The sequence below is a fragment of the Homo sapiens genome, chromosome 9 (genome assembly GCF_000001405.40).
Source record: "Homo sapiens chromosome 9, GRCh38.p14 Primary Assembly".
NCBI lineage: Eukaryota > Metazoa > Chordata > Mammalia > Primates > Hominidae > Homo > Homo sapiens.
The window spans coordinates 3667786-3692648 of record NC_000009.12 but is presented as its reverse complement, the minus strand read 5'-3'; the positions used below and the strand labels follow the sequence as shown (position 1 = coordinate 3692648).

The window sequence follows — 24863 nt, the reverse complement described above, 5'->3', positions numbered from 1 at the left end:
ACAAGATATGTAGGTTTTTCTATTAACTCTATATCATATCTTTTTTTTTTTGTGACTGAAGATTAGCCTTAAGGACAGACTTGGCCTTGATATGCTAAATGGAGCATGAAGAAATTTGGAAAAATTCTTTCTCAAGAAAATAATCTGGTTTGCGAGATATTCTTATTGCACAAACCAAGCTCATGTCAAGAGCTGAATATTACCTCCTCTTTCTCTTTGCATACCTTCTGCTTTAATTACTAAGCTTCCCTCAGACAAATAGATACTGAGGACAGATTTAGAGTAAAAGTCTTATACTCAGAAAGGTAAAAAAGAAAACATTAATGTTTAAAATTATTTCTCCTATAAAAACTGTACCTTCATGATCACTCTGCTTTAGGGATACACAACAATACAACAACAGTGATATCTTTTTCTTTTTCTTTTCCTTTTTTTTGAGACTGGTTCTCACTCTGTTGTCCAGACTGGAGTGCAGTAGCACAGTCATGGCTCACTGCAGCCTCAAACTCCTAGGCTCAAGCAATCCTCCCGCTTCAGCCTTCCAAGTAACTAGAACCAGAGGCAGGTGCCATCACACCCATCTAATATATTTTATTTTTTGTAGAGCTAGGTTCTCACTATGTTGTCCAGGCTGATGTGCTGTCTTCTTAGAATGTGTGTCTTTCGCTTGGACAAAGGAAGGCTATGTGTTGGTTGTGTACCCTTCTTTGTGGTTTCACTTGTTGGTCTTGTACAAGTGTATCTCATTTTATTGCACTTTGCTTTGTTGTATTTTGTAGATATTGTTTTTTACCAGTTGTAGGTTTGTGGCAATCCTGCATCTACCAAGTCTATGGGTGCCATTTTTCCAACACCATGTGCTCATTTCGAGCCTCTATGTCACATTTGGATAATTCTCACGATTATGTTTTATTTTTTCCTACATAATGAAGGTACACTCCCGGCCCATCCTGTAGTGAGACATATGAATAATTCTGGCCAATGGGCTATATGAAGAAATAAAGTGCTTAGCTTTTGGGCTGAACATAGGAGAGTAGTCATGACAACTGGCAGCCCATGTATTCCAGATAGTACGGCTACAAGATGTTGAAGCAGCTGCATCCTGGGTCCCTAAGTCGTATGTGGATCAGAGCTGCCCCAGCAACCTGCAATGGAAGTGAAGTGAGAAACTTTTGTTGTGTTAAGTCGCTGACATTTGGGAATTAAATTTTCACTGCAGCATTAGCAGTAGCTAATTAGCATTAGCCTAATATGACCGACAGAAATGGAATGGGAAAAGAACAAAAAGCACATGTCTGTTTCCTCCTGCCCATTTTTAAGGAGATTTTAAGGAAGTCTCACTCAACATCAATAATTTATTTTATTAGGCAGAGATGTGTTATAAGGCCGCCCCTATCTGCATGGAAGGCTAAGAAATATCATTTTTTAACCTGACATATACTTCATCCACTATTATTAGTCAAGAAAAATAGAAGGATAACTATTGGGCAGGCAACTAGCATGGTTTGCCACAATCTACCCCCTTGGTTACCTGTCATTCAGATGTACCCTTATTTCTAGTGGTATGGAAATAAGGCTTGTACCAGCTCACAAATGCCAGCTGTTACAATTTCAGACATTTTGTGAGTTGATTGTTAGAGATAGCCATTATTAAGAATTAATATATAAGGTAGGCATGATGGTGCACACCTGTAATTCCAGCTACTCAAGAGGCTGAGGCAAGAAGATCATTTGAGCCCAGAATTTCAAGGCTGCGTGAGCCATGATCACACCACTGCATTCCAGCCTGGGCAACAGAGCAAAGCCTTCTCTCTGAAAAAGTATAAATAAACAAAATTATATACATTTACAGTTAAATAAATGGCATCTAAAACAAAGGTGATATATACTCAAAATTCATGACTTCTTAATTATTTTACCACATTTTTCTATTATCTATGATCTTGAAGTTGCATGTGTCATATCTGTATAATGGAGATACTTCAAAGTGATGTGATAAAATGCATTTGATCCAATTCCACCTTCATTGACATCATGTTGGTATCTTGAAATCAGCCATGGTGGGAGTATTTACACCACAGGATTCAGCAAATACTCTAAATCAGGGCTTGATCTTTCTGTTTATTAATTGTCTAGACTTAATCATAAAGAAAATATTACTAATGTAAATTAAACTAAAGGTATATTATGACAATAGCCTCTATATGGTAAGTAGCACCAAAAATCGAGGAAACATTATTTCAGTATTTGACAACTAGGATCTGAAAAAAGTTGCTTTCATCATTGAATAAATAAATTCTGACATACTCTTCATTACATCTTCATTGCTTCATTTTCATCTTACTCATAAAAACAAACATATCAACCATCATTCATGTGGGAATTACACTTATTTGCAATTTTTTTTTGTCAAAAAACACATTCTGTAAGAATCAATTGGTCATAAGGAGTTTACAATAAAGAGTACTGTATATATTACTATTATTATTTGTAAGTTATGAGATACACATCCTTTATATCAGCAACATTTATAATAAATATATAGCGTGTGCGTGTGTGTGTGTGTGTGTGTGTGTGTTCTACACAACCCTATCTCAGCTGGTTGTTAAGCATTTATCAGAGCCCAAGTTTCTTTCCAAAGAACATTCCAAGTGAGATAACCTCAAAGGCTCTTGCATTTCTTGCATCCAGCTTAAAATGTAGGTACTGTGGGAGATATGCAGTCTTTCCATCAGATACAAATGGAAAATTGTTTGTTTGTTTGGTTTGTTATGGGTCTGCTAGCCTATAAACCAAAGGAAAATTGGTCTGCCCTCCATGTACAATAGTGGAGAAGAAGCAGGACTACCATAATAAGCGCCCATTTGGAAAAGAGGCTGGAAAGTGCACAGTCATCAGTTATTAAAGCACACAGTCATCATAGAAATTAGGCCATTCTGCTTGACAAGAGTAGCAAAGGCTTCCTATCTTGTCATGGGTAAGTTCCTTGGTTGGCCGATCTGGCTGAATTTGTTTATTCTCTCTGGAAGGATCTACCGGAGTCCCTCTTCCCCTCCCCTTCTGGCTCTCCCCTCCGATGTTGCTTGGTAAAGATGCTCTTCCTAGGGCTACACAGCATTCAAAACCAACTTGCTATTGGTGTGCTTTTAGTAACCAGGGACTATTTTAGGGGTTTACTAATCATAGAGAATCTGGGGACAGTCTTAGGGAGAAGAAACTTCCTTGGAAATATATTTCCCTTTAAACTTAGAACAGTTTTGCTTTATTTGCTCCTGGTAAAGTCCGCATTTAAAAATAACAGTCAGCTGGGCGCAGTGGCTCATGCCTGTAATCCCAGCACTTTGGCAGGCCAAGGCGGGTGGATCATTTGAGGTCAGGAGTTCAAGATCACCCTTGTCAACATGGTGAAACCCCGTCTCTACTAAAAATACCAAAATTAGCCAGGCGTGGTGGCGGGCGTCTGTGATAATCCCAGCTACTTGGGAGGTTGAGGCAGGAGAATCACTTGAACCCAGGAGGCGGAGGTTGCAATTAGCAGAGACCGCACCATTGCACTCCAGCCTGGGCAACAAAAGCGAAACTCCATCTGGAAAAAAAAAAAAAAAAAGTAAATAATAATAATAATAGTCAAAGATGTTATCCAGATGTGGATTTCAAGTCTCAGGAACCTCCTCTTTCATGTTCACGACTCCATGCTCTGCCCTTCTTTCTTGCCCTGGATTCAATGGCTGTTGTCCAGAAGCAGTTAGAAACAATCAGTTCCCAGGGGGAAGCAACATCCCGGATCCCATCACTACTGGCAGGCTCTGTGCCTTCTTCCAGTGGAGCACCAGTATGTAGGCTACTATTTGTCAATCACCATTCATAATTGCTTCAAGTTTGAAGGACAGAACCAATTGCCTTCAGGACTCTTTTCACCATAACTTGTAGACAAAAGTCAGGGAAAGATTCTTTAGAAAATAAAGGTGTTTCGGCTGGGCATGGTGGCTCACGCCTGTAATCCCAGCACTTTGGGAGGCCGAGGCGGGTGGATCACTTGAGGTCGGGAGTTCGAGACTAGCCTGGACAATATGACGAAACCCTGTCTCTACTAAAAATACAAAAATTAGGCCAGGCATGGTGGCAGGCGCCTGTAATCCCAGCTACTTGGGAGGCTGAAGCAAGAGAATTGCTGGAACCTGGGAGGCAGAGGTTGCAGTGAGCCGAGATCATGCCACTGCACTCCAGTCTGGTAGACAGAGTGAGGCTCCATCTCAAAAATAAATAAATAAATAAAAATAAAGATGGGGCGTTTCTTCCCTTCTCTGCTTGTAGCTCAAGTAGTTCTAGTCTGGTGTCATCTCTTCAGTCAGATTTGTCTGAAGGTAGTAGAGCTAGTACATACCCATATATAAAATCTTTGCCATCATTTCTCCTTATCGTATAACCTCATTTAGCCGATTACCTGCATTACCAGTAAAGCAGGCAGCAATTAAATCAAATGTTCTGCCACTACTTAACAAATATCACCAGCTTTCTGACTTAAAGTCTCTAGGTGCTTGTTACCCAAAGCCCCATTTCTATTTCTCCCACAATTTCAGTTTCACATTTTAGGATTACTGAAAGCATCCCCCTTCGAGATACCAAATTTTGTTATCAGTTTGATATTATATTTAGCTCTGAAAGGTAGAAAATGGAACAATAGTAGTTTGAACATATTAATGATTTTGTTTTTTCCACAAAATCAGAAGCCTAGATTCAGATCATCCAAGCTGGTGCAGCACTTCACCCCTGCGTCAAGTTCTTGCTCCACTTCCAGCATTATGTCTGTCATTCAGAAGGTGAAAGGCAGAATACGAGGGGTATACACAGAACTGATCTAGTCCCTGTAGAGCATTACTGAAACCCCCTCATTCAAAATAATAGTGATAATAATGAATAATAAAAATTGTAATTTCTGGTAAAATGTATCAAGATATCACCATAAGAGGAAATCTGATAAAGCTACACTCAGATACATTAAATTCAGATTTTTCTGTAACTAAGTGTTAATTATCTTTTTACTATAACTGGAATAATTTCCAGAGAAATCTCTGCATTCAGTTGCCAAGGGCAACACTAATGTCAAATTTTTGACTTTGGTAACCACAGTAGAACTTTTATAAGATGGGTTATAAAAACCAAAATTATCTATTGATGATTGGATAAGAGACCTGATTCAACTTTATGGTCTTATAGCAATTTCTGCATTTTATAAATTCAAAAAGAACTGCCCAGCTGGGATGCAGTAATTTCATTTTCTCTAAAATATCAGTGTAATCACATAAAAGGGAAAATGGCCCCAGGAGAAGTTCTCTTGCTATTAGCAGTAACATATATAAAACTCTTCTCAGAAAAGGGCTGTTAATCATGTCTTGCAAAGGGCCCTAAAAAGTCATTTATGCCATCTTGGGTGGATAAATGAGTATTCTAACCTTAAAAATATATCCAAGGAAGAAGTTTCAAACTCTTCTTCTGTTGGCTTAATTATTACGGGCACTGCCTTGGAGCGATGTTAAAAAACATTGATGATGCAGTTCTTTCAACAGGTATTTATTGAGCATCTACTGTGTTTATAACATAGTAAGAGAAACAGCGAAATATGAGATATGGTCTTTCACGGCAAAGAGATTATAATGTAGTTGAAGAAATAAAACATGAAGAAGGAAGAGTTTGCCACAGAGAAAGGTATGAAATGAGCTAAAAAGAATTCCTGAAGGAAGGTGACTCTGTTGGGCTTTCATAATCAGAATTTGGAGCATGAATCTCAGGAGAGAGAACATTCCCATGCATCCAATTTTTATCAAGTTCTCCCTAACTCTCACCCCTGGCACCTCTCTTACCCCTACTTACTTTTTTGTCTCCTTTCTTGCCTTGGTTCAAGCCTCTGTGGTTTTCCACCTAAACTATTATGATAGATACTGAATTTCCCTCAATTTCTCGGTTTTTAACCACCAAAGTCTTTAGCAACCCGTACTCATCACTATAAGAAAGTGATCTTTAAAACATTGATATGATGGCTTTTTCCAGGCCTGGGATTAGGGGAAGACAAAGGAAGCACTCGCCTTGAGTATGAAATTTAGGTGGCCTTAGAAAACTCAGTAACTAAGATGACTAACTTTTTAATGAAACATTTTTTAAAAATCAGAATTAATGCAAAAGATCCATGATGAACAAAATGTCAAAATTTTAAATAAAAATAAGATCTGACAGTGCTGTGCCAAGCCATATTGGAGCTTGAGACAAAAGTAAAAATGTATGTTCCTAGAGCCATGTTTTTATGTGTTTTTAAAATGGTTGTTTTCCAGAATATTAAAGTAACTGAAAAAATATTGAAAAGTTGAAAAATAAGTATATTAGAACTCAACATTATTTTATCCAAATATTTTATTTTTAATAAAAAACATTATAATTTTAATGCTTTGGTTTTAATAAAAACAAAGTCATCAATTCAACAATTTTTTTTTTTTTTTGAGACAGAGTCTCACTCTGTCACCCAGGCTGGAGTGCAGTGGTGCGATCTCGGCTCACTGCAACCTCTGCCTCCCGGGTTCAAGCAATTATCCTGCCTCAGCCTCCTGAGTAGCTGGGATTACAGGTGGGCGCCACCATGCCAGACTAATTTTTGTATTTTTAGTAGAGATGGGGTTTCACCATGTTGGTCAGGTTGGTCTCAAAATCCTGACCTCATGATCTGCCTGCCTTGGCCTCCTAAAGTGCAGGGATTACAGATGTGAGCCACTGTGCCCAGCCAACAATATTTTTTAAATGTCTTTCTTGCCTTGATGCCTTTGCTCATAGTACTACTTCTGCCTGGAGTGCCCTTGCCCAAATGTATATCAGGCAGATGATTATACATTTTCCAGAAATAAGCTTTTCCTGAACCACCCTCCCCTCCCCTTTATTCCCCAAATCAGGCAGAATAGACCATTTTTCCTTTGTGGTTTTCACTGTAGTCTGTACTTACCTCTATCAAAGAACCAGTGGCATTTCAGACATATGTATTTTATTATTTGCCCTTTCTAAAATAGGACTACCTTATATACACCATGGAATACTATGCAGCCATAAAAAGGAACGAGATCATGTCCTTTGCAGGGACATGGATGGAGCTGGAAGCCATTATCCTCAGCAAACTGACAAAGGAACAGAAAACACTGCATGTTCTCACTTATAAGCGGTAGCTAAACAATGAGAACACATGGACACAGGGAGGGGAACAACACACACTGCGGCCTGTCACAGGGGTTGGGGATGGCAGAGGGAGAGCATCAGGATAAAGAGCTAATGCATGTGGGGCTTAATACCTAGGTGATAGGTTGATAGGTGCAGCAAATCACCATGGCACACGTTTACCTCTGTAACAAACCTACACGTCCTGCACATGTATCCTGGAACTTAAAATAAGATAAAATAAAATTTAAAATAAATAAATAAAAAAGGCAGGTATTGCTCTTATTCATCACGGAATCCTTGGTGACTAGTGTGATGTCTGAGACTCTGTAGGTACTTAATAATATTTGTTGAATGCCTGGATTAATGGACAAACAAGGGTGAGAAAGTGATAAATATAGTCAAAGAAAAGTAAGTAGAAAAGATTTCTTGGAAACGTAGAAGCTATTTTAGATAAAGCCAAACATTTATGTTTAAACTGCAAAAATTCATAGTAAATTACTACAAAATAGACAAGTCAATTTAATTAGTTGGTTAATTAAATATACTTAACTATTTAGCAAGGCTAATCTGTTCACCCTCTATTGAAGGACAAAAGAACTTCAGGCAGGGAGACAAAATAAAAGTCTATTGTAATAGTTTGTGTCTGACATGATAACGGTCTATAAAAATGTTGCGGAAGAAGAAAGGAAAAGCAAAATCTGGATGAAAAGTTTTGAAGAATTATTTCATTGGATTTGGTAAAGAGAAGGTGGAATGCCATGAGAAATATTTACATTGCAGTGCAATTTGTTCTTAAATTTGACACAGCTAAAGCTTCAGGCATTGTTCAAGGCCAAGGTCCTTGTCAACATCTAGGGCCATTTTATCTTTTAAGCCCTAAGGCACCATGCCATACATAGTTCCATAAGTTTTTCATGCACCCATAGAAGTGTTTATGACATTACAAACAAAAAAAAAATCATTGACTCCAAAAAAACAGGAAAAGAAAATTGCAGTGTTGAAATGAACAAGTGTTTGAGTCAACCTCCACAGAAATGTTTGAAAGATTAAAAATATTTTATTGGCCGCACAATATTGCAAGGAAGACAGCAACATTGAAATTACAAGTGTTTAATTAAATGTCTCTGGATTGTGACATTAGGTCAACTAGTTGAGGGCAACTCCATTCAACTCATGTATATATTACATTTAATGTGGAATGAGAGCATTTTAATATGTGTAATAAAAGATAAGAGTCTCCAAAAGTAAGAGTGCATAGAGCCTATGAACTATCAAAATAACCTTGTCTACACTCCGTGATGGTTCTTATCACAATGATCATTATCTCTGTACCTCACAGGTGGATTCTGAATGGTGGGTCAATGTCCATAGGAAATGGCTCCAGTTGTCTATACTGTTTTCTAAGCATCTGGACCTGAACCCTAAATAAGAATGTAAAATGAAATACTGTATTCCTCATTCTATTTCTTCAAAGTTTATATTGTGTTAATTTTAAAAAAGCAAAGTTTAAAGTATGTTTCAGGCTGGCCATAGTGGCTCATGCCTGTAATCCCAGCACTTTAAGAGGCTGAGGTGGGTAGAACACTTGAGGTCAGGAGTTCAAGACCAGCCTGGCCAACATGGCGAAACCCTGTCTCTACTGAAAATACAAAAATGAGCTGGGAGTGGTGGCACGTGCTTGTAGTCCCAGCTACTCGAGAGGCTGCGGCAGGAGAATTGATTGAACCTGGGAAGTGGAGGTTGCAGTGAGCCGAGCTCACGCCACTGCACTCCAGCCTGGGCGACAGAGGGAGACTCTGTCTCAAAAAAAAAAAAAAAAAGTATATGTTTCAATGAAAACAAGAAAACAAATGCTATTGATGGTAAATAATCACATAGTAAATGTTTCTCAGTAATTGGCATTTTCAACACAAGAGGATGAGCTGAATTTATCTGTAAGTGCTTATGCAATGCATCCTTTGCTTTTACCCTGTCAAGAATGGGGAAGCTGGATTTGGATACAATGGATGGGAGGTACACCTAGTTTGAGCTTAGTCATTATCAGAATGGTCCTTTAGATCAATAACTAAGAACATTAACCAGTTCTTTAAACTGTCTTGAGTGTAGCATCCACAAATTGCTGCTCCTGTGCCATTTTAAAAAGCCTGTTCCTAGGGACTTTGTCTTCAACAATGTAAACAATCAATTTACAGAGCACTGATCTTCTTCAAGTCCAGGTGAATTCTCACTGTGACAGTGGCATGTAGAGGTGGCATGAAGTGCCAGGAGCAGCAGTGTCTCATTGGCGAAAGCCTGGGTCCTACCTACGGAACCTCAGCAGGTGTGATTGTTACACTGGAGAACACCAAAGGTGAGCTGCACTGTAATTCCACTGCAGTGAGCCCTTGTCTGTAGTAACTAAAGTCACCTCTGGTAATAGCTATTTATACACCATTTTTCAGATGAGTAAATTTTCTTTAAGCAACTGTACTGGCTGACTAGGGAAATGGAAGTTTAATTCAAAAAGAGAGAAAAAATAGGCTTTGCTTTCAAGGGGATTTGACTCTGTAAAAAATGCAATTTGTATTTTGAACCATTTAATTCTGGTTTTCTTTTCTAAGTTATCTGAACTAAGTTAATCTTAGGCATCAAATTGTTGGAAATACTCATTTGCTTGGTTTGTTTTATGCTGTCCCCACAAAAAGCTTACATTTTCCTAAAATTCCTACTAATAGTTTGTAGAAAGTCCATATATCCACAAACACCTGCCTTTGCTTGATATTCACTCTTTTTCTCCCTCTTACAGATCAAACAATTAAGACACAGTGATTTCCCCAAGGTCACACAGTTCTTGGGTGTTAAAGCTTTTACTAGACATTCTATTTTGTGGCTCCGGTCAAAGGATTTTTCCCACCTGGGTCTCAATGTACCCTTAGCTGTTTCTTTTATTTCTTAATTCCAGTTCTGAAAAGGCCAAATAGAACTGTTCATGTTAACATTCAACAAAAACATCTGTTACAGGCAGTTACTGACTGACTAGTAATATTCATCTTCTCTGCCAGATCTAAATTGGACCTGGGAGAATTTCCACATTTGCTGGTAAACTATTAAAGGCTCCATGATGGGGCATTTTCCTGAGAGAAGAAATAGCTCACATACCTCTTCTTAACGCCTATGAAGAAAATTGCCCCCAGATGGGTAGACTGTGACTTCTTATGGGAAGGAAAGGAGGATTTCACAAAAAGTGGAATCTCTCTTGCTTTGGCTAAAGCGTCAACTCATTTCCCACTGCCAAATTTAGCAACGATGTACACCTGTGTCCACATAGTCTGCCTCCCCTCGTTAAAATGGACAGGCTGAATCCACTCACATCTAATGTCAGCCGTTCCACTTGTGTGCAGAATCCCTTTCTTATTCCCCAGCTCTCCTTCTGTAGCTATTCCTTTTCCCCTGCACTATTAAATTTTTCATCTCTCCTGGATCCTTCATATTAGCATACATAGAGGTTATCTCTCCCATTTAAAAACAAACTTTTATTTCATATCCTCTCTAGCCATGTCCTATTTTTCTGCTCCCTTCATCGTGAAATTCCTTCCAAAAGGTCATCTGTGCTTTCCGTTTTTCTTCACCTTTTATTCTCTTCTCAGCCCACACAAATTAGATTGCCATCACGACAGCTCTGCTGAAACCAGTCTTAACAGGGTCACCAAAGCCTAGGGTGACCATATGTTCTTGTTTGCCCAGGACAGTCCCAGCTTACACCTATTGTCTTGGCAAAATTATTAATAACTTTTCTGTCACTCTTAAAAAACCATGGGTTGGAGTATAAATTACATGGATAAAAAACCATCCAACCAATGACCTCCATCTTGCAAATCTGACTGTCACTTCTCTGGACTTCTCTTTCTTAATCTCCCTGAAGTGCTTCTTGTGGACCTTTAAATGTTGACATACTGCCAGGCTTCCAACTCAGCTCTCTTCTCTCCTCTCCTCTCCTCTCTTGACTACCCACACTCTCTCTGTAAGTTATCGCATCCAGTCCTATGGCTTTGGGCACCATCTGTATTCTAAGAACTCATGAATTTGTGCCTTCTCTATGACCTCTTCTCTAAACTCCAGACGTACCTTTTCTGCCTATTGGAGAGTTCCACTTGTATGTCTAACAGGGATCTAAACTTTAACATGTCCAAAACAGAACTTTTATTTTCCCTCCATCCTTTACCTTTTCTTCCCTAGTGCTCCCATTCTCAGCCGCCAGGTCAAATACTGTGTCATCCTGTTAGTTCTCACTTTTCTTCACAACCCATATCCAATCTTAAGTCAATTAATCTTTAATTGACTGCCTCAAAACCTATCATCCACCTGAGTATTCTCCATCTCTCCTCGCATCCCCACAGTCCCGGTCACTCTCCATCCTTACTAGGACTACCAATAGTCTTCCTGTGTCTATTCCTGCTCCTCTACAGAGCAGCCAGAGTAATACTTGCCAATTGTGTATCAGGTTATGTTGCTCTTCAGATCATGCCCTCCAGAGACATCCCATAGAGCAATGAGAATAAAATCTAGACTTCCTCCCATTGCTTAGAAGGCCCTGGTTTCCTCTGTGTCTTTCATCTCATTTTTAATCATTCTCTCCTTGCTCTCTCTGCTCTGTCCATGCAAATGGCCTTTGTGCTGCAACTCAAACACACCAAGCTTCTTCCTGTCTCGGAACCTCTGACATTGAGGTCCCCTCCACCTGAAAAACTCTTCTCTGGGCCCCCTAATGGCTTTGCTCTCTCACTTCCTTCAGTTCTGACTCCCCAGCTATTATAGCACCCCCATCACTCTCAACTCACTCACAAGGCTTCATTTTTCCTTCTAGCACTGATGATTCCTCCAAATTGTACTGCCTTTTTATATGCCTATTTTCTATCCTCCCCATCATAATGTAAGAACAAGGAATAGAACAAGGGGTCCTATCTGTGTTATTAATCCCAATATTCAGAGTATCTAATTTACTATGACTATATATTAGATGCTTAACCAACATTTTCTGAAGGAATGAGTCACCCAGTTTTCAACTGAGTGAATTTTGAACAGTCCTCACTTCATCAAGTATCTGCTCCCTTCGGAATTTGTGGACTATTTTGTTTCATTGTCTTCATTTTTTAGATCTGTCTAGTTGAGTGATACTCCCACAGCCTGTAAACTCCCAGAAGGCAATGATTGAGGGAGCCAATTAATCTAATTTAGCCTCCAAAGAGCTGCACATCAGGGTGCCTGACTTTCTTGTGTCCGTTTTAGACAGGCAAACATATCCATGTGACTGTAAAGACAATAGTGAAGGTCTCATATCTCAACAGCTCTAGACTCTCTTCCCTGCTAGTTTCTTGTTCAATCTCCATATAAATCTGAATTGGGTTTCACATCTGATTCTAAATCTACCTTTAGGTGAGGGTTGGAGTCGGAGATAGAGTGAGAAATACACATCTACTCCCCCAACTCCCAAGAGAGATGAAAACATACTGAAACTGTCATAAGAAGAATAGTCAAGAGCATATATTAAATCATTTATGTATGTCACATGTGGAAAAATAAAAATAACTATCTTAAACCAATAGAAATAGCTATCATAACTACATCTAAGCAATCAATATCTCCTTCTCATCTTCAATTTTTGATATGGGAACCTGTTTCCCTGAGGGCTAGATGCTGAGTTCTCCCAAATGAACACTTAATTCTCCCGTGTGCCTTGCTCTAGACCATCTCTCTTAGTGGTTTACAGGAGTGTGCTCTCTTCCTGAAAGCCCAGGGCCAAGCAGTGACCCTTTTGCTGTCACTGAAGCTGGGACAAATGAAGGTCTTTGCGGATTGTGCAGAGTCATCTGGGCACATCCAGAGCTTTGAAGTGCTTCATAATATGGTAAATATTGCAAGTCAACAGCTATCTAGATTGCAATATAAATAAGGTTGATGATGACAAAATATTTTAGTACAAAGACATCAGTTTAACTGAAGAAGTCATAGCTATCAGGCCTCACCATGACTAGGATGAAAGATCCTTCAAGACTGCCTGCCACCTCCGCCCTGATTCTACATTCCCCTCAGGAACCTTCTGGCTATTAATTTGGCTTCCCAATTATTCTGAAACCAGAAAGGAAGTGTCTTTGTGTGACTGTCCCCCAAAGTAAGTTAATAATTGGTCATGTGATCTTTGCTTTTAAAATATTTATTCCTTTTAACACAGTAATTTTATTTCCTATGACACTAATAAGCAATATGGTAAAAAAAAAACACTTTGCATAAAAATGTTTATAACAGTATCATTTATAATGGCAAAATTTTTGGAATAACAAACGTTATATATCTAAGAGTGGTTTAGTAAAACACTTGACTCATTCTTATATATGCTGTCATTAAAAACATATTTTAATGTCTACATAATGACATAGAAAAATGCTCACAATATAACGTTGAGAAAAAAAGAATATAAAACTGTTTAGTATGACTCAAAATTTATAAATGTTGTATGTGTGTGGAGGGTGTAAAATACTAGAAAGATACCAAAATATTAATAACGCTTGGATCAAATGATAATTTTAAAAACTATTCTTATTCTACTATATTTTTTTGTTCTCTTATATTTTTTGTAATTTCTAAATTTTGCATGAGCATATAATACTTTTTAAATCAGAAAACTACGCATAAATTTACATCTACTTAAGTAATATTTTAGCCAAAAAGGATTTCCTTTCAGAGACATACCACATTTTTTCTATACGTTTTCCCCCATCAGAAAAGTACATTTACTTTGCAGAGGTCACTAAACTCTAAGTTAGTTATAAAAATCATTAAGAATGGAGTCCCTGAAAATATGCAGTTTTAAAATGTTATTTAAGTGAAGGCATAAATACCATAGTTCAGGAAACTGTAAGAATTTTCATTGTTAAGTGTGATCACAGCGATGAAATAATAAAATTAAAATTCTTATTCAAAATCTAATGCCCAGATGCCTATAACTCATCAGGTGCTTGAGGAGTTAATTTCCAGAAAAATGAGTAAGTAGCATGAATTGTGACATATCTATTCTCCTACCCCTCCCCCCATCTCTGAAAATATCCAGAATTTGCTTTAAAAGCTATGCAAAAATGGCAACCCCCCATACAGATAAAAAAGATCAAGGGAGGGAATGAAAGATGAAGCAGCAGATGAGATAATAGACAAGATAATTACAGAGTTTTAAAAGCCTTGGATTTATTTTTAAGATGTAAGAGCTCTATTTAGAAAAGCCCATAGCTAACTTTATGTGAATCTTGAATGAATTGTTCTGAAACATGTGAATAGTAATAAAATGAAGGAAAGAAGAGTTCACTTTGTTTTCTGTGCAATGACTATCCTGACTGTCCCCATGGCTAAGGTGGCCTGGTGACGTTCTGTCCTTTACATGAAAGGTTAATGCCACTGACTTCCCCATGGGCAGATCAGGGCTTGGGGTTTTGTAGCACAAGCTATTTGCCTCTCTCTGACTTTTCACCATGGCCCACAAAATAAAATTGCTGTGGTTTTAAAAGAATTAAGAAGCATCGTTCTGTCTCTCTCTCTCGCTTCCCAATAAAGGAATACTAACATCTCAGTTGTGAGGTCAAGAACAAACGAAACCTCTTCTGTGCTTTTGTTTTTAAGCCGGTCTGTTCTCAGATGGTACTTGCCCTTTTCTCTGGAATTTGCCCATTGGCCACATACAGCATTCTCTCCATGCATAAACCATTCTCTGCCATGCTCTGGCCTAGAGCTCTAGGCCAGAGGTCTTCTGTTTGCACTACTTTGGGTTGGATGGGCAAATAGTTACCCATGGCCTAGATGCAAGGTCTAGTGAATATGTAAAAGCTGATCTTTTGGCCTCTATCTGACTCAGTTGTCTGTTTTTAGGTGGTTCCTAATTAGGAGAGAGAAAAGAGTTTGGCTACTACTTACTTCAGAGAACCCAAAAAGGCTGCATTTCCTTGAGTGGTCTTCAACTTATACTGACATGTCCACATTAGTTCAGAATGGATCTCTCACTTAGGTGACAAGATAAGGCTATATATTGCCAGTATTGCCAATCAAATGAAAGGTTGAGGTTTAGGCCACAAAATGTATTCTAATTGGTACAATTTATAGGTATAATTTATCTGAGTGCAGGGTTCTAGAAAACAAAATCTCAGCATTATTGGGAAGGATGGATTGTCTACTGATGACTTTAGGATTAGAGGAAGCACTGTGGCTTCTTGGAGAAGAGAATGAATTAGGAATTTATTTTGAAAAAAAGTCATTTATAAGGAATTTTAATCTGTCACAATCTAGAGTCCAAATCTGAGTGGCAATGTTAGGCATTTTCAGCAGGAGACTAATTTAGAGCCACATTCTTTGAGTGTGTGGAGATGTACTTCCTTAAGTGTAGGTAAACAATTTACCTTTAAAACTAAACAGAGTGTATTATGTCAGTCTTGGTCCTTCAGGACATAGCTGCTAGGACAGAGGTAAACAAGCAACGGTTTTATTGGCAGAACCGTCTGTGTGAGAGAAAATGGGAGACCGTATGCAAGTCTGGCACTGAGTATAGGGGAAAGAAAAAGGACAGGTTGAGTAGAAGCATCTGAGGTAGCAAGGCTGCCAGGGAGTCCTGTGTCTCCAGGAATGAGCCTGCCTCAGTATGCCTGCCCCATGAAGCCAATGGCTGGAATCATCCTGGGAAGCATGGCCAGGCACAACTCACAGGTGTGGGGTTGAATTTTAGAAGGTCCCACCTGGGGCCCTGGGTCAAATTGCTCCCCGTCATTGCGGCCTGCAAAGCACCTTACCAAGGCCACCTGACCCAGGATTTAGTAACCAAGAGAAACAAAACTAGACTGTTTTCGAAGCTGTATTTCCACTGTAATTTGCTAACAGTACTCCACCAGTGGAATGTTTACTTACCTAGGAAGCAACTGATTGAGAAAATCACTATTTTTGGTATGTCATGTACATAACTGAGAAACAGTTACAGGAAAACAATTTGCTAATGAACAAGACAAGCTCAAGGGGTATTCAGAATTTGCCAAGAATCGTTCCATACTGTTTTTTTCATCAGGGACAGTGTTTGCTCTGAATACTAGGTCTATTACCTGCTAAATTTCTGAATTCCCAATATGTGGTGTGTGTGTATGCATGTGTGTGTGTGTGTGAGAGAGAGAGAGAGTGCGTGTGTGTATGTGTGAGAGAGTGCGTGTGTGTGAGAGAGAAAGAGAGAGAGAGATGTGTGGTGTAAGAGAACTGAGGAGAGAAGCAGAGAGAGATTTGAGATCCCTAGAGCTCAAACACATGTCAGTGTTCAGTCAATAGCTAGCTGGCACATGTGGAGCTAAATTTAAACATATGTTTTTGGTTTAAAAAACCTTGTCCTGACTGCCAGAGGAAGAGAGAGGTCTTAAAGTTTGCTTTTAACCATCCTGAATTTATAATAGGGTGTTCATATGAAGCAAAACATAATAAAATACATTTATCAGAAACACATTTATGTTTGTACCAGAAGAATAGGGTCATAATAATCTATCTAAAAGTTTTATGGGGGATTATTCTAGGCACTTATTTTTCAAAGCTTTTGCATATTTCACATAAGCCTGTGCAATGTAATTTTTATAATGGTTCCTCAGATATATCATTTTTACTATCACCAAGATCTTTTTTCATCTGAGTGAATGAGGATGAGGTGATGTTTCTTTGTCATAAAGTTGAGGATCTGAAATGGTTATAGGGTACAGCCTCATCAAATCTCTTGATTTTGCCATGCAATGGGATGGGGCACAAGTGTTCTCTAAAACAGGTATGCTAGCTACATAGTCCTGTCCACATAGAGTCACTTTCTGATCACCAAGGTAATCCAAGAGCAGAATATTTGGTCTTCAGAACTTTTCCCCCTCATTTAATAGCTGTTTCTCAGTTGTGTGCCAGCATTATGCCCTTCACTTCACTTGATGAAAAATATTTAAAAGTGGCTATGTGAAACCTACTGTTTCATATTGCAGGGATATTGTTGAGGCCATTGTCTATTATATTAAAATATCCTCTCCTTGGAGAAATTTCTTCCATCTCAATTCTTGGAAATATTGTTTTTTTCCAGCGTACCTGACAAATGCTTCCTTCTAGGCACTTTGAGTCTTGATTCTGATCATGCTTTTCTCTTCACTTTGGCCAATGGGAATCTCAAAGGCAAATTCACAACTAAACTTTAATCATTGTGCAGACATCTTAGTGCACATGTCTGTGTCTAAAATTTACCCATTTTCTACTCTAGAAGAGTTATTTGTTATTTTAACTTAACATGTTTGTCTGCAGTCCATAGAGATTAACTTTTGGAAAAAATATATGGTGTAAGTAAAACAAATGTAAATTTTCTGGAGTTTTACAGTAACTGTAAAATCAAATCTAATTCATTTCAGATCCCCAAGAGCCTTTCTTCTTTTTCTTATGATCTCTAGGACTGAAAATGACACTGTAGCTCATCTCCTAGAAGAAGGCAGTTAATCAGCAACACAACATCTTGTGAGGGATCACATTTCTGTTTTACTGAAATGAGACTGTGAGCTGATTTTGACAATAGATATACTGACGCATTCCATGAGTGCATGCTCGTGTGTGTATGTGAATAACAGAAGATTTTGAGATCCACCAGAAGATAAACAAAGAAAATGGTGACATTTCACCTGGTTTCCCTCTCCTGCCTCTCCCTCCATAATTTTTTGGTCTTCCAGAGCTGAGTCACATTGACAAGTTCAATTCTCTCTAAAAGCACATCTCTTGCCCTTGCATTGCCGCTGACTCACGTACCTGAAATCTTTCCTTTGTGTGGAACGTACTTTTACTTTTGAACTCTAACCTGTTCCTTCATTGCCCTTCCCAGCTTGGTTTTCTTCCTAGTTTTCTTCTGTTCTTCACCGCCTTCAACAGTGAGCAAAGTAACATCTGATGCTCTTGTTACACAGCTTTCTTTTTTAGAGGCCATTACAAACTTACAGAGATAAAAATAACAATATGAAGGATGTATTGTGCAAATCTTTTTAAAAGCCTGCAAAACAGCAGAAAGAAATCAATTAGAATTGCCATGGCAACTACCAACAATTTTATATGCAAGAACGAAATAAAATAAGAAAAGTAACAAAATAGAAAATGCATAAACCGATTCAAATACCATGAAGTGTTTATGAAGTAAACACTGTAGAGTGAAGCTACATGAAAATAGATTTCATTAAGGTAAATGAAACATAGTTTAACTCTTCATTACAAATGAGCGAGGTATAGATCATGAAATAAACTATTATTGATAAACTCTTAATGATATAGTTTTTTAGTTAAAACAATTTTTGGAAAACAAGTTTAGACAGATCAGAAGAGTAAATTAAAATGTATAAAGTGCAATTAAGAATAACATTTTTTCTAAGCATATATTTCTTCTAATAATACTTAAAGCTCATATATTAAATTTGATAGCTAGAGGTAAATTAAAGAAGTGGGACAGGATATGTAACTAAAATACCTGATGGAAATTAGAAAAGAACAGAATTCTAGGACATGAGTGCTCTGGATTTCTGTCCTCACCTTCTAGAGTTAAGGTATCGACTTCCTCATCCTAAATCAGTGATTCTCAATCCTGCCTGCACATAAAAATCACCTGGGTTATCCAGATCTATGTATCCCAATATTACAATGTCTGGAACCCATACCAAATCTATTACATTAGAATGTCTGAGGGTGTAATCTGGTCATTTGCATTTTTAAGGCTTTCACAGGATTATATATGCAGCTAGTGTTGGGAACCAGGGCTGAATCTATACCTTAGCCTGCCTGCACTCTTACCTACTACCTACGGTATTACCAGGAAATTCAGTATCTCTCTGTTTGGATTCCTTTGTGTGGTAGGCAGAATAGAGGCCCTCCCAGTAGATGTGTTTCCTATACCCTGGAACCTGTGAATATTAGGTTTCATGGCAAAGGAGAATTAAGGTTGCACATGGCATTAAGATTGGCAACCAGCTGACCTAAAAATGGGAGAAATATCCAAGTGAGCTCAATATAATCAAAAGGGTTCTTATGAGTGGAAGAGAGAGGCAGAAGAAAAAGAACCAGAGGCAGCAGTGTAAGAAGGACTCAGCCTCACTGCTGAAGGAAGGGGTCACCAGCCAAAATATGTGGGCAGTCCTCAATTGCTGCAAAGGGAAAGAAACAGATTCGCCTCTAGAGTCTCCAGAGGGATGTGGCCCTGACTACACCCCTATTTGAGCCCTGTGAGACCCAGTTCAATCTTCAAACCTACAGAACTGTAAGATAATAAATTTGTATCGTTTTAAGCCACTAAGTTTGTGGTAATTGGTTATAGCAGCAACAGAAAACAGATACATCTTGTCTCCATAAATTATCCCCAAAATCCTGGGTCTTACGTAGTCCAAAAATGTCAGTACAACTTAAACATCGTGTTGCTACTGCGAATCTGCCCTTTGCGGGCCCATGGAAGATTCTTGGTCACTCTAAAATACTGCCTCACTATGCAGATTCCCATTCAGGCCTCTGCAGTCCTTTCAGAGATGTAGCTCCCTCCATTTTAATCACAGCCAAAAGTTCCCTATAGTTTTTCTTCTTCAGCTTTTCCAATGGCCTCTCTTCCTTTCAGGAATCTATAGTCAGGATTTATATAACTTTCACTTTTCCAACCTAAAGCGTAAGTTGCCTGATGATACCTCCTTTTCAGGGTGAAAGACAACTTGTTTCAAGAGGCAGCTTCTATGTTGCCTGTCCCCCGTAATTGCTGGGTACACTGGCCTTCTTACCATTACCGCAGGGCCACGTGTCCTGCACCTACCTCCGGAAGTAGAGTTCACTTCAGTGGTGCCAGGACTTCCTCTTAACCCTTCCTCCCAAATGTGAGTTCCAAAGTTGGTTATCTGGCATGTCCCTTCTCATATGGAGTCAAAAACACAAATCAATTCATCTCCAGGAGAGCATTCTATCATATGGGATCTCCCACTCTAACTTGAGAATCACATAGGCTCACAATTAATGTGAGGAAACCACAGTTAAACTGTTCTATTTTTCACAGGATCTTTTGGATCCTAAACAATGTTTATATGTCTGCCAGCCTGGGATGAGCTAGAGAGGTAGTGGAAGGACTATCAAAACTTAAGAAAGACATCACCACCATTGAAGACATTACTCAGAAAATAACACTGATGATTCCAATGTGCCACTGTGGCATCCTGTGTACGATGGTAATCTCAACTTTCGCCTAGTCACTACACTGGCGTTCATCTCCATCCATACCACCATTCAAAACTCTGTGAAGAAACACTTGATATTCACTGTTAATGGCAATGTGCAAGACTATACCTGAAATTTCATTGTTCTTACCACTTTGCTTTCCTCTAGAGAGAAAGCACCAGGTGTACCTCTAATTCTGTCCTAACACAGGGATAGCTGTGTGTTCAAGTATAATGATGCTATTTTATAGTTGCCCCTACCCTGAAATAAAACATAATCAGTAAGGAATTCTTGAAAGCCTGTAAGTGGAAATAGCAGAGTGGACGTGTCGATATAGTATATGAGGAGCACCTGGTAGAAGGGCAGTGGGGTGGGAGGGGGGAGTGGGAAAGAGGGAGACAGCAAAATTATAAGCGAGACTGATTGAGTGCAAGCTAGTGAAAGCATGAAATTTATGTTTATTATTCCTTTCATTTTAAGTTCCAGAATCAGGGATTTTGTTGTGGGTAGAAACTGTACTGGGTTATGGTATGTAGATTACATTTCAATAGAGCAGTTAATTTTTCAAATGGCACTGGGTACCTGTTTCAGCTTTAGATCCAGTGTTTCCTGTAGGTTGAGAGGTGTCCTGGAATCCCAATCCAATTTCAGGAGAAAGAGGCAGCTTAATGAGACTGGAGGAGTGGATGCATTCTGTTCTTTATTCCTGTCACTTCAGCCAAGTGATATGCACTACTGTTTAATCCACTGCCTCCTAGAACAGGCAAAGCTTATTTAATGTCATGCAAAGTGTCTACCAATGCAGGAATCAGCTTCAAAAGTGAATATTTTAAAATCCCTAATGGGCCCTGCTTAGAACTAAAGGTTATGAAGGAAAGCATTTTATTTTGATTTTCTCTTCAATATTGAGGGGGCTAATAAAGGTAAATGTTGTGATGCAGATAAATTAGAATCCTGAGTGTCTTTGTAAAGCCAACAGAAAACATGGAGTCCTTGTGGGGAAAATTACGCAAGTAGGTTATGAGCTCTGGACTACTCTAAATGAATAAATAGTGTGCTGGGGAGACTGTATACACATAATACATGTTGGGAAGTTCAACATATGTTCTGTATAATGATTGGTAAATATATGAGACTCTAACAACAACAACAGCAACAACAATTCAAAGAGAAACATATACACATGCTTTCCTACAGTTAGCAGATTAGAAACATAAGTCTAATTGTTCTTTTTTTTTTTTTTCTTTTTTGTGGTTTTTATGTTGACAACACGAAAATACATTGCAGTGATTTTGGTCCTACTCAGGCCTCAGTTTGGGGGCCAGCTCTACCACAAACCAGCTTTTTGAACTTTTTGACCCTGAGTAAGTTATTTTATCTCTCTAAATCCCTGTTTTCTTATAAGCTTAAAAGTCTGAAATAAAAAATACCATAAGTAGTTATTGGGAATAAATAATATATGCAATAACAGTATGAATAAAAAAATACCATGAGTAGTTATTGGGAAGAAATAATGTATGCAAGGTACCTTGTACATAATTGGTGCTTATTAAATGTTAGTCTCCGCTCTTCCGTTTAATAAGCCTGTTATGCCTAATAACAACTGGAAGTCAGTCTTTGGTAAAAATATGAAAGGAACAGAGAGGAATGAAAGAATTTGAATGGGCCAGGAATGTAAAAGATGGTAAAGTTTCCTTAAATTGTGGGGCAATCATATATTGATTTTTCTCAATATCCTTCCATTGTAGCTAATAAACTCCTTTTCATATTTGTATTTAGAGATACGGAATATCCCAGAAAAGAAAACAGGACTAAATTAAGTGCATTTAAAACCATCTTGTCTCAAGATGGTTGCCATTCAGAAAAGCAAAATAAGTAAAACCCTAAGCAGTGATGTTTGAAGTGTGGAACATAAAATCAATATAATGGTCTCAAACAGCATTTTAAAAAGTTAAATAGAGTAGAATAGAATATTTCAGAGTACACCAAATTGAATAAGGGTAAGCTTTATTCCATGAAGCTATTATTTCAGATACACACATACACCATGCATGGGTGTGTATCAGGTCACAATGTAAAAGGTATTTCTTACTGTGGGTTGTGGTAAGGAAAAAAAATATTTAAAAGCCACTGTCCAAAAGGGAAAGAAATAGCTATGTTCCTTTTCAATAAATTAGATTCTGTCTTGGCCTTGTTCAAAGAAATGGTGTCATTGCTTTTAGGGGATGTAGACTTCTATCTCAAGATTCTTGTCCTTGAGTCATCTCCAAATGATTCACATTATTTCAGATCATGATGTAGTTTTATCAATATTTCCATACATTTCATCAGGAAAATAGATAAGAAACATTGTCAAGTTGAAGTAAGAAAAAATTTAAAAGGATATTTTTATTTTCTTCAGATTCCTGATAGCTCCTCCGAAAGATAGTAACAAAAAAATATGAGACAGAAAATACCAGATAAACTCACTCTGCTTTTTTCTAAAGAATGTTTTCCGCTGGGCACGGTGGCTCAACCTGTAATTCCAGCATTTGGTGAGGGTGAGCCAGGTGGATCACGAGGTCAGGAGTTCAAGACCAGCCTGGCCAAGATGGTGAAACCCCATCTGTACTAAAAATAAAATAAAGGCCGGGCGCGGTGGCTCACGCCTGTGATCCCAGCACTTTGGGAGGCCGAGGCGGGTGGATCACGAGGTCAGGAGATCGAGACCATCCTGGCTAAAACGGTGAAACCCCGTCTCTACTAAAAATACAAAAAATTAGCCGGGCGTGGTGGCGGGCGCCTGTAGTCCCAGCTACTCGGGAGGCTGAGGCAGGAGAATGGCGTGAACCCGGGAGGCGGAGCTTGCAGGGAGCCGAGATCGCGCCACTGCAGTCCGCAGTCCGACCTGGGCGACAGAGCGAGACTCCGTCTCAAAAAAAAAAAAAAAATAATAATAATAATAATAATAAATAAATAAATAAATAAATAAAATAAATTAGCCGGGCGTGGTCCACCTGTAATCCCAGCTACTCTGGAGGCTGAGGCAGAGAATTGCTTGAACCCGGGAGGCAGAGGTTGCAGTGAGCCGAGATTGCGCCACTGCATTCCAGCATGGGCGACAGAGCAAGACTCTGTCTCAAAAATAAAAATAAAAAAGAATGTTTTCCTAAGTCATCCAATAGCCATACATCAATGAAAGCATTTAAGTGCATAGATAGATGTAAGATATTGCAAAGGAATTGACTCAGAAAGAGACTGGTCTTGGTTAAAAAAGAAAACAAAACAATTGGGCTATATAGGAGCTAATGCTTAATTAACTCCTACTCTGGGCCTAACATTCCATCAAGTGCTGTAACATAATTATTTTATTTAGTCCTTAAGCAAAGGCAGGTAGTATATATTCCCACTTTACAGGTGAGAAAAATGAGCCTCTGATTGGTTACTACCCCAAGACACCCCACAATCCTGAACCACATCTGTCTGCCTAATTCCAAGCCGAGATGTATCTGCTCCACTTTTTCTCGAAGCACCTGTCCTTCAAGTCCTGCTCCTTGTTTTCCTGCCTTTTTGCCCCGTGGAAACCATCCCTTCACTCCTGTTAGTGCTTCATGCTTTCTTCCCATCAGAACTTATTTTCCATATTAAGTTATTTATATCAAAATGCAGGTAATGACATTGCTTTGCCTTGCATTTGTAATAGGAATCAAATCTTCGGCTAAAGAGACTCCTCCAAGGTGGAATTTCAAACATCAGAGAAAAGGTCGAGGAAATTTTAGGGATGGGAGGTGGGGGAAGAAGAAAGGGAAAGGAGTATTTTATGATGCTTTTATATCTTACCAATGCAGTGTTGTTCATTGCATAAAAAGTTGTCCAACTTCTAATCCCCCTTCAGGATCCCCATGACTCTCCTGTGTGCTTTGCATTCCATATCTGTTCAAGTCCAGTCTGCTTTGCTTACATGCTGAGGTTTTTCTTGTTTAAAACTAAAACAAATTACAGTTAAGTAGGCCACTAAAATGTTTTTTAAACTATCAATTTGGCAGAGACCTCATTTTTTTCTGCCTCTGTAATTCCATTCTGTACACCCTCAATGAATGCACACACAAAAAGTGACTGGCAGATAGAATTTAGAATCCATGAAAAGAAGTAACCATTGTCTCCCTTCTATCAGAGTTCAGGTTCTTTATTGTAAAGTTGGTGTTTGGTCCTTAGATTTTCAGGCCACAGAAGCCCAGTTCTACCCACAAATAAAGGTACTAGGGCCCTCCTCCTTCACCTCACCAGACGTCAGGATTCTCTTTTGGTCTTAGTGGTTCTAGTTGCTCCTTAAAGGGTAGCCACATGGTGATGACTTATTAAAGATGGTTGGATGAGACAGGCATTGAGTGCAGACTGGGCAAATTCCCACACTATTAAAGTCATGTCAGTATCAGCACAGGCATCTGGGTGTAGGTTTATAA

At 38.7% G+C, this 24863-nt stretch overlaps 1 long non-coding RNA gene across 1 annotated transcript, besides 1 other annotated feature; it reads right to left on the bottom strand.

Annotated features, from left to right (window-relative positions):
* Positions 1-892: 892 nt before the first annotated feature.
* RFX3-DT (RFX3 divergent transcript) lies at positions 893-24563 on the bottom strand. The gene is made up of 5 exons (NR_121586.1): positions 24241-24563; positions 21004-21175; positions 18001-18238; positions 1690-1812; positions 893-1145 (listed from the first exon to the last, which is right to left on the bottom strand). It is a non-coding gene; the product is annotated as an RFX3 divergent transcript (long non-coding RNA).
* Positions 17308-18507: an enhancer, noted in NCBI's record as "CDK7 strongly-dependent group 2 enhancer chr9:3674142-3675341 (GRCh37/hg19 assembly coordinates)". NCBI's record gives its function as "activates an origin of replication core promoter dependent on BRD2, BRD4, P300/CBP, MED14 and CDK7 cofactors, with strong dependence on CDK7, by STARR-seq in HCT116 cells {active_cell/tissue: HCT116}" and the evidence as "EXISTENCE:reporter gene assay evidence [ECO:0000049][PMID:35650434]".
* Positions 24564-24863: the final 300 nt, after the last annotated feature.